This window comes from Homo sapiens, chromosome 4, assembly GCF_000001405.40.
Source record: "Homo sapiens chromosome 4, GRCh38.p14 Primary Assembly".
NCBI classification, from domain to species: Eukaryota; Metazoa; Chordata; class Mammalia; order Primates; family Hominidae; genus Homo; species Homo sapiens.
The window spans coordinates 73393192-73403176 of NC_000004.12; the positions used below are offsets into that span (position 1 = coordinate 73393192).

Consider the following 9985-nt stretch of genomic DNA (forward strand, 5'->3'; position numbering starts at 1 on the left):
GATGTAATCATCAGTACAGCTAAACCAAAAACAAATTCAAACCTAATCTTCCCAGAAGAGCAGAACTTGGTGTAGGTTAGAAAGACTTTAAGTGTTTTAAAGAGTATTCTTTTTACCTGTTTTCTAGCAGTGATGAAGTAATAAGTAAAAAGAATGTCAGTTAAAATATAAAATAAAGCTTTGTGTGGCTGTTTAAAAAATTGTAGAATAGGCCAGATGCGGTGGCTTACGCCTGTAATCCCAGCACTTTGGAAGGCTAAGGTGTGTGGACCACCTGAGGTCAGGAGTTCAAGACTAGCCTGGCCAACATGGTGAAACCCCCGTCTCTACTAAAAATACAAAAATTAGCGGGGCCTGTCATCCCAGCTGCTCAGGAGGCTGAGGCAGGAGAATCGCTTGAACCTGGGAGGCCGAGGTTGCAGGGAGCCGGAATCACACCATTGCACTCCAGCCTGGGTGACAAGAGCAAGACTCAGTCTCAAGAAAAAAGAAATGGTAGAATAAAGCAATATGAAATAGTAGATTTCATCTTGGATTTATTGTGAGACTCTGAAATTAGAACTAGTCATGGATGTTTCTCATTCCCAACATGGTTGCCAGTGTCTGTTTTCTTCTTCGGCATGTACTGCCCCATGTACTAATGATCTGTTTTGCTGCTGTGGGTTACAGGAAAGGTACAAAGAAGCCCTTATGACACTTAGAAAGCCTATTTAAGATAAGCAAATAATAAAGCACCAGACAAAAAGGGTACACCCTCATCTCAGGTCGCAATTCAATTTCCCTCCTCTCCCAAATTTTCTATTGCCAATAGCAATGAATGTAGCTTTGTCAACATAATAATAGTTTTGAGGGACTATCAGAGAATAGTTGTCCTAATTTTTTGAAAGGCATTATAGGATATATATATCTTGAATGCCTCTTTGCTGTTTTGTTCACTAGCTATTGACCTTGGGCAAGTTACTTAATCTTAGCTACTTTATGTTAACCTCAGTTTCCTCAATTGTAAAATGCAATAATGACAATGCTATTCTAGTAAGAGTACCAGAGAAGCAAATATGCCACTGCTGGTAAAGCGCTGCTGAGAACAGGGACTGGCATGTTTGAAGGCATTTTATAAGTGCTTGTTAAACAAACAGGGCATCCCCTGCTGTCCTCTTTCCCCTCACACACTCAGGGATTCAGTAGAGTTAATATAGTTCTAATACAAAATAAATACACTTAAGATTTTAGTGTTTGCAGCTTTATAATGAATAAATGCAAAATTTCTATTATTGTTATTTTCAACTACTATTGGCAACAAACTCATGGACTTTTACTGTACTTTCATGGATATCAAGGAGTTGATGGACATCAGACTGGAAGTGGCTTATTTGTTCATTTATTTATTCATTTATTCATTCAGTCAACAAATATTTATAGAGCACTTGCTACATGCTGGGAATGTATGTGATTACTTATGTGAATCTTAAATTTGCTAGAGATGGGGATATAGCAATCTTTGTTTTTTCATAATACAATCACTTGGAAATTTTTTACTCACTGAATTTAATTCATAGGTTTAATTACTATCTACTGTCTAGTACTGAACTGAGATTTTGTAAAGAATACAGTGAATAGGGAAAATGTTTACTCTTATAAAATGATTACAATTTAATAAAATCTTATAAATTCAAGAGATGTAACTAAGAATGAAAACAAAGTAATACAGGTCATCAGAAGACAGTGAGAAGAATGTAAGCCTGGGAAAAGAGAAGGTCTGGAGGTGTGCTCTGGAGATGGGAAGATTTAGATAGATACAAAGCAGGGGAAATCATCATGGTGGGAGAAAGCCCAATAAGCAGAGATTTGTGTCTGAAAATGAACATGACCCCCTGGGAAAAAGGAAGATGGCCTCATAGCACCTTGCACATCTTCTCATCTAGTATGGCATTTAATACCTTGTAGGCTTGCAAAAAATGTTACAGGGAGTATAACTGAGTTAATGGGAAAATTTATTCATGAAAGAGAATAACAGATTATATTATGGAGATCATTTCTTCACATATTTGTTCATTTGTCTACTCACCTGTTTAACAGACATTGAACACACATGCGCCAGTCATCTGCTAGCCACTGGGGATACTGCTGTGATGGAGAAAGACAGAGCTTCTGCTTTCAGGGACATTATAAACTAGTGGAATCAGATTACAGAGTATGTTGCTTTTTTTTTTTTTTTTAAATTTGGAGACAGGGTCTTGCTTTGTTGCCAGGCTGGAGTGCAGTGGCATGATTATAGCTCACCGCAGACTTAAACTCCTGGGCTCAAGAAATCTCCCACCTCAGGCTTCTGAGCAGCTGAGACTACAGGTGTGCACCACCACATCTGGGCAATTTATTTATTTATTTATTTTTGTACAGACAGGATCTCACTTTATTGTCCAGGCTAGTATCAATCTCCTGGGCTCAAGCAATCCTCCCAGTTTGGCCTTTCACAGTGTTGGGATTACAGGTCTGAGCCACCTTGTCCAGATGGATTACAGAACATTTTGAATACCAAAGCAAGAAGCTTGGCATTTATTTAAAATGTAATGGGGAACCAATAAAATATCTTAAGGAGAGGAAAGTTTTGGTATTAATCAGAGTAGATAGGGACTAGAAATATGATCATTAATTCAGAGTTTATTGTAATAACTCAGGTGTGATTTGGTGAGAGCCTGAACCAAACTGGCCTCAGTGCCCTGGTGAGTAAGAATAAATGTGAAAATGGGTCAAAACAATTTAACTAACAGATAGATCAAAACTGTTTAGGGACATATTGGATACTTGAAGTTAAAGAGAAGAAATTATTAAAGGCACTCCGAAGCTATCAAATGCTATGGCATGAAAACTTACAGTATCATAAGCCAAATGGGTAAATTTGGGAAAAAAAATTAGATGGGGGTTGTGGAGGGAAATTGGCCAATTGACTAAGAACATACTGACATGCTGAGGTGATGTCAAATGGGTTTCATGAAGAGGAATGGATTTCCAAGTTTTTTTGACAGTGACCTGAGTAAAACACAGATTTTACATGATGACCTGATATACATATGTATAGCAAAACTTTTACAAAATGGTGCTAATCCCACTACAGGCAATTTACCCTGATCAATTCTATTCTATTAATTTTATTTTACTAAACAATACTGGCCATGACATCCTAAATTTATTTCATGACCCTGTTTGAAAGTTGTTCTAAAGATAGTTGAAAATTAGGAACTTTCTATAGTAGGTGTGTTGTAGAAATTTTTGGCAATGAGGCCCTTACGGAAGAAAGGTCAAGGCTAATCCAGATTTTGGGGTTGTGCCATATGGCATTAGGAAATAAGCTTGAGTTCACAGGGTATAGAAATTTTTCCTAGATGATCATGACTACAAACAGAACAGTTTCTAACCCATGAATAAATTAGTTACATATACCCCAGGATGTGGATGACAAAGAATATTAGAAATAGCATGAAATATCATCACTATTTTTTTTACTATAAAATATATGTTTTAGTTTAAAAATAAAGGTAGCTGTGTTAATATTTAACTACACTGGATTTTTCCTAGTGAGTAATGTCCCCAATATCCTCCCCTCCCTATGCTTGTAGATACATTTCATATTTGATGTTTTCCAGGATTATGAACAATTTTAAGGTACAGTAAGAGTGAACAAAAGAACAACCCCTGAATGGACAGATTTGTGGCTGTTAGTTTAATTTGGCTAATCAAGAAGCAACTGCACCAATGTAGTAAGTGGCCATGAGCAAGTTTCTCTACAACAAAAAACATTGCTTCACAGGGTGGTTGAGTCACTGGAAAGATTTTCATATTTAAACTCCTTTAGCATCCCCTTTGTCTACTCACCTAAACCAAATACAAAATAATATCAATGGGAATTAGTACTGGTTTGGGACTTGGATTTGAGTGGGGAGGCCAAAGAAGAGCCAGCCATAACAGCACATTGTAAGTATTGAGTAACATTCTGGGCAATGACTGTGGTGTGGCTGCTGGGCCAATAGGATATATCATTGGGCCATTTAAATAGACCCTGTTTTGACTAGTGGCTAGAATATTTTTAACCTCTTCAGTTGGTCAGGATTGAAGTAAGGCAGCTTCTGCTAGCCTGTTTACCTTCACGGTATACCTTTAACTACACTAATTTCTGGATTGCGTTCTAATGAGAAAAGAAAAATGTAGAGGATGCACGGTATCAAGTGCTCATGGCCATTTACCATATGGCTACAGTTGACTCGATCTGACAAATTAAATTGACAATCAATGAAAGTTTTGAATGACTTCTGTATCTAGTCTGTATCTATCTGTATCTAGGCATGAGCTGGATCTAGTGTTAGATACAGTGAGGATGAACCATGGTTAGTGCTTTCAGGAAACTTATTATCTTGGGGATGTAGGATATAAATTGTAGCATTTCTGTTGTCTGCAACATTAATCTAAAAACCTCAATGACCCAAATAGAAAAGGAAAAAAGCTTTCTGAACAGCCAAACAGAGATTCCAAAGTTCAGGCACCAAAGTTCAGACCCTAACAGTTATTTACAAGGGTCAGTTAACCTTTTGTTCTAGTGGGATAGGATTCCCATGGTGAGATTTGAAGAACTGTGGAACCACTGTTTCAGGTTCTTTTTCCACTTTGCCACCCGTTTGAAATTCCATCCATTAGGAATTAACTGGCATGATGGGAGTCCCTTTTATAATAAAATGCCTCTATTCTAGAAAGGTTAGGTATGGGGGAGGAAATAGAGTGTTGATGAGATTAGGAGCATGAGGTTCAGATAAGGAGAGGTTTTGTGAGATTTTGTAGAATTAGCTTAGTAAGATTTTTAATATTTAAGACCTACCCGAATTTGCCAACAGGTTAAGAAAGGGAAGTTTTGGTATGGGGTTTATGTTAGAAAGGAGGCACATGGAACTTAGAGGCTGGGTAATGGTTGGAAAGGTGGGACCCCTAAAAGATAGATGTTTGAGGTATACAGAAGGCAGTGGAATGGGAGAGAGAAATGATCATTTTCATGCTTAGTTTTGCCTGAAAACCCAGATAATTGCGAACTCGGCTTTTTTTTTTTCTGCTTGCCAGCCTGCATTTCTTTTCTTTCTTAAGGTTCTGCAGGAAGTTTCATTGTCTTTGAAGCTGGGATCTAATTCTTTGCTTTGATATTTTATGAAACATTTAGAAATTACACATCATCATATCCTCCTTACTTTCTTCAGTCCTCTGCCTACTCATTCCATTTCTCCAGGAAAACTGTCTTCACAAGCAAAAATAAACACAGTGAATACAAATTTGAAATTTGAAGTCTGTTGGATTGTATAGGTAGCTAAGGAGGTTAGAGCCCACACAGCTTATTTACACGTGAGATTGTCCTTGGATGTAGAGCTTCTCCTCCACTGCTTCTTTATTATCCCAGGAGTACCTTGTATTCTACATGCATAGTAATTTATAATGTTTCACTATAATTATCTTCTTATTTTCCTGCATCCCTTGTTACATTGTGAGCTCCTTGAAATCAGCTCCTTAAAATAATTATGAAACACTGTCTTATGGGTTGTGCCCTGTCAACAAGAATGCTATTGTTAAATAATTAGCATGTTTGTTGATGCTGGCCAATATTTACTTTTAGGTATCATCACTTCTGATGTGGATTTTTTGTCAATTTTCCACATAACTGCAGATATAAGTTTGGACTCATCAACACAGCCATTTGCTTTCAAGACATTAAATGCTTTAAACACAGCCATTTGCTTTCAATACATTAATAACTGAATAAATAAACAGTATACATTTAAAAATTAAAATTGAATCAAAATAATAATTATCTGTATTTTATCTAGTAACTTAAGTTATTGCTGTTAAATACATAGACTATGTCACTGCTGTAAATCAGAAGCATTTTGGAAAAAGAGTTCCATTGTCAACATCATATGTTACTAAAATTAGTTCTTTGTTTTATTTAAATGCATGTTTTTGTTGCAATATATTATTGTTAACTGAATGATTTTAGCAAACCAAATTTTCAAAGTATTATTCTAACAAAAGAATTTTATTGTTTTCAATATCTATATAATGAAAAACTAATACTGAACAATTCAATGCTTATATACCCAAAAATATTTTACAATTATTTTTGAAAGCATTTATATTATGTAGTTTATTATAATTTGGCTAGAGATGAATTTCTCTCAAAAAAGTGAACATCTGCCAATTATTTATATGATATATTTCTTAAAACTTACACTTTTTTGGATCAAATAATTCATTTATTGATGTCAGCGCACACATACCTTCTTGGAAAACTCCTGAGAATTTCAAGGCTTAAATTCCAAGCTTCAGCTGGGTTACGGGTTGAGAAAGTTTTAGCTAAGAACTGGCACTAAAAGATTACAAAACATCTCGCAAAGCTTAAAGCTATAGAAGACATCAAGAAGAAAAAATACCTTTTAATAAAAACATTCTAAACTCTATCCACTAAAATTTCAACATGAGACTATTTTAGCTATACAATCTTAGTTGTTTTATAGAAGATTGATAAAGTTCAATTTTATAACTTTAAACTTAAGTAACAAGTTTCTTGAATTTCATGTTTAAAATATAGAATATGAATAGATTCAAAGTGCATTCATTTCTGTTTAATTTCCATCTGTGGCTATCCTTATGAGACAGGATTAGTATTAATTTCAATTTATATGTTTATAGATTCTATTAGTTGTTAATTTATTAAGAATGGATAAACATGGATTGCAGACATTAACTATATTTTTCTTGCACTTGAAAAACTTGATAAAAAAATATGAGAAAGTCTCATTAATATAGTTTAAATAAGTTTAAATGAACTTTTTATTCTTTAAAAATATTAAGCTGAACTAGCTAGAGCGTAATACTTGAGGAGCAATTGTGAGGCTTAGGAATGAACAAGCTCTCAAACTTGAATCCTAATTGCCTAACTTGATATATTCTTTCCTACCACTCAGGTCCTTTTCTCATTTGATAAGGCTGTCACATTGAAAACATGGAATTGCAGAATGTTCAAGGTAGAAGGATCGTTAAAGATAATTTAGTCCAACTTGACCCATATGGCATAGAGATATATGCAGATCTGCATGTCCAGTTCTGCAGCTAGAAACTGACACTGAGCTGAATTAAACCACACGGAGAAGAACTGAGAAATTTAAAGTAAAAGGTTAGGAAATTCGAATGTATATATATTCCAGAGGCCCAGTGTAACATGAAGAAAGTCAAGGAGAGGGACTCTTTCATCATGGAAGATCTGGGGGCAGAGGGACTTAAAAGGTGGGACAAGCCAAAGATGGTGACCTAGGGTGGTTTTTATGATATAACCTTTTTTCTCCTCATTCCCTATGAAATCTTCAGCCAATTCCATATTTCTCACTAATTCAAGTGAATATCTGGGGGGATGGCTTATGGAGGGAAATAAGGGAGCAATTGTTTGGATTATATTCCAATTTTTTATTTGCATTAGAATACCTATATGTTTATACATTTTTATTTGCATTAGAAATACTTATATAAGTTTATACACTTTCATTCTAACTTTTTTTGAGGGAAATGTATCTCCATAAGTGAATAAGAAGTTAAATTACTGATTATGTTTCAATTGGTTAGTTTGATGCTTAACAGTCTTTCACTTTTCCACTCTTGCATATTTTGTAGAGAGTAATACAAGCTCTTCATGATAGGAAGGATCTGCATATGTTTATTTTATAGTAGAAAAATGGTAAGATTTTCCTGTCCCCAATTTTCTCTCCAAACAAATCCAAATTTCTTGTATTTTGGAATGACTCTGGGTAAAGTGGTTGTTTATAGAAAGTCTCTTATAAAATATTGAGGATATTATTAGATATTATTACATTTCCATGAATATGTTTCCCTTTATCTTTAAGAGAAGAAGAGTCAGAAATATAACCTATCAGAGTGGGAGATGGCATAAAAGCTGGACTAAATGGATTGCTAGATGGAGGGCAAACCTGGTGTGAATGACTCAGTGAGAAGCTTCGGGAGTCCTGAGGGTAGCAGAAGGGTGCGGATTTAAAGTTACTGTTAGAGTGGCTGGAAAATGGGAGACCGGTTCAGAGACATTTTATCTACTTAAAAACTGTGCCTTTTGTATCACGTCAAAGTGAATGCAAAACAAAGAACAAAAGGGTTAAAGGCTCAGGTTTAAATCCCAGGTATATGTACATTTCAATTGAGGTATTTTTTTTTTCTTTTCTAAATGATCAGTACACTTATTCTTTCTAAAGAAAATACTTTTCTTAACTACTCTCTATTTTTAAACTTCTCCCACAAAGATGAGAAAACATTTAAAAATCATTGGGGCTATTTTTCTGTTTACCGAGTAAAGAGAATCTCTAAACCATATTTATAACTCTTACTCTAAATATTTGCATTTACCCTCATGCCAGAGCCCGTTGATGACTGACTAAACAGAGTTTCAAAGTTTGAAGAACAGGAAATTTAGAAATGACTAACAATTATGTAGGTTTATTTCTCTCAGTATAGAATGTTCATATAGAATTAATGCCAGAGGTTTTCAGAGAAAAATGCAGAAATTTTTACTTTGCAAATCCAGAAGATGCAATTGTTCAAGTATTTCTTAAGAAACATTAATTTTAAGTATGCAGATATCATTGAGAATTAAATATTTTAATTTCTAAACTATTAATCTTTTAGTAGGATGCACATATGCAAAATGCCTCATTAGTACTGTAAGAAAAGATTCTTGGCCGGGCGCGGTGGCTCATGACTGTAATCCCAGCACTTTGGGAGGCCGAGGTGGGCGGATGACGAGGTCAGGAGATCGAGACCACCCTGGCACACGGTGAAACCCCGTCTCTACTAAAGATACAAAAAATTAGCCGGGCGTGATGGCGGGCGCCTGTAGTCCCAGCTACTCGGGAGGCTGAGGCAGAAGAATGGCGTGAACTCGGGAGGCGGAGCTTGCAAGTGAGCCGAGATAGTGCCACTGCACTCCAGTCTGGGCGAAAGAGCGAGACTCCATCTCAAAAAAAAAAAAAAAAAAAGAAAAGATTCTTTTAGGTTTCATCAATTTTGTTTTAAAGCTAGGGCTCTTCATTAGATATAGGAAAATCAATTCAAAGTTTCTATTCAGTCATGATGAATTTGAGATTTTTTTAGGTTTCTTTGTATTTAACAATATATTACATTATAATGTTGTGGTGAAAACTAAATGGACTAATATTATTCTTTTCATTTGTTAAATGAAAAAGTATGCACAAAGTATATGTGAGAGTGACAAAGGCCTGAATTTGTCAATTAGTAACAATTGTATTCAACAGTAAGGATTTTATGTTTGGGTAGGCCTTTCCCAGGGACTTCTACAAGGAAAAAGCTAGAGTTGGTTACTGACTTCTAATAAATAATGCCTACAATTTCTAGGAAGTTAAAAGTTGACATAATTTATCCAAGAAAGAATTATTTTCTTAACTTAGAATAGTTTCTTTTTTCTTTTCAGATGTAGGTTTTTCTGGCTTTAGAAAAAATGCTTGTTTTTCTTCAATGGAAAATAGGCACACTTGTTTTATGTCTGTTCATCTGTAGTCAGAAAGACAAGTCTGGTATTTCCTTTCAGGACTCCCTTGAGTCATTAAAAAAAATCTTCCTATCTATCTATGTATCTATCATCCATCTAGCTTTGATTTTTTCCTCTTCTGTGCTTTATTAGTTAATTAGTACCCATTTCTGAAGAAGAAATAACATAAGATTATAGAAAATAATTTCTTTCATTGTAAGACTGAATAGAAAAAATTTTCTTTCATTATAAGACTGAGTAGAAAAAATAATACTTTGTTAGTCTCTGTGCCTCTATGTGCCATGAGGAAATTTGACTACTGGTTTTGACTGACTGAGTTATTTAATTAAGTAAAATAACTGGCTTAGTACTAATTATTGTTCTGTAGTATCAGAGAAAGTTGTTCTTCCTACT

At 35.0% G+C, this 9985-nt stretch overlaps 3 annotated features.

Moving 5' to 3' along the window:
- Positions 4494–4574: an enhancer, noted in NCBI's record as "E6". NCBI's record gives the evidence for it as "EXISTENCE:reporter gene assay evidence [ECO:0000049][PMID:1321810]".
- Positions 4494–9985: part of a biological region, named in NCBI's record as "albumin (ALB) 5' regulatory region", that runs on past the window's edge. NCBI's record gives its function as "regulatory_interactions: AFP | ALB | LOC111832670".
- Positions 9231–9451: an enhancer, noted in NCBI's record as "E1.7". NCBI's record gives the evidence for it as "EXISTENCE:reporter gene assay evidence [ECO:0000049][PMID:1321810]".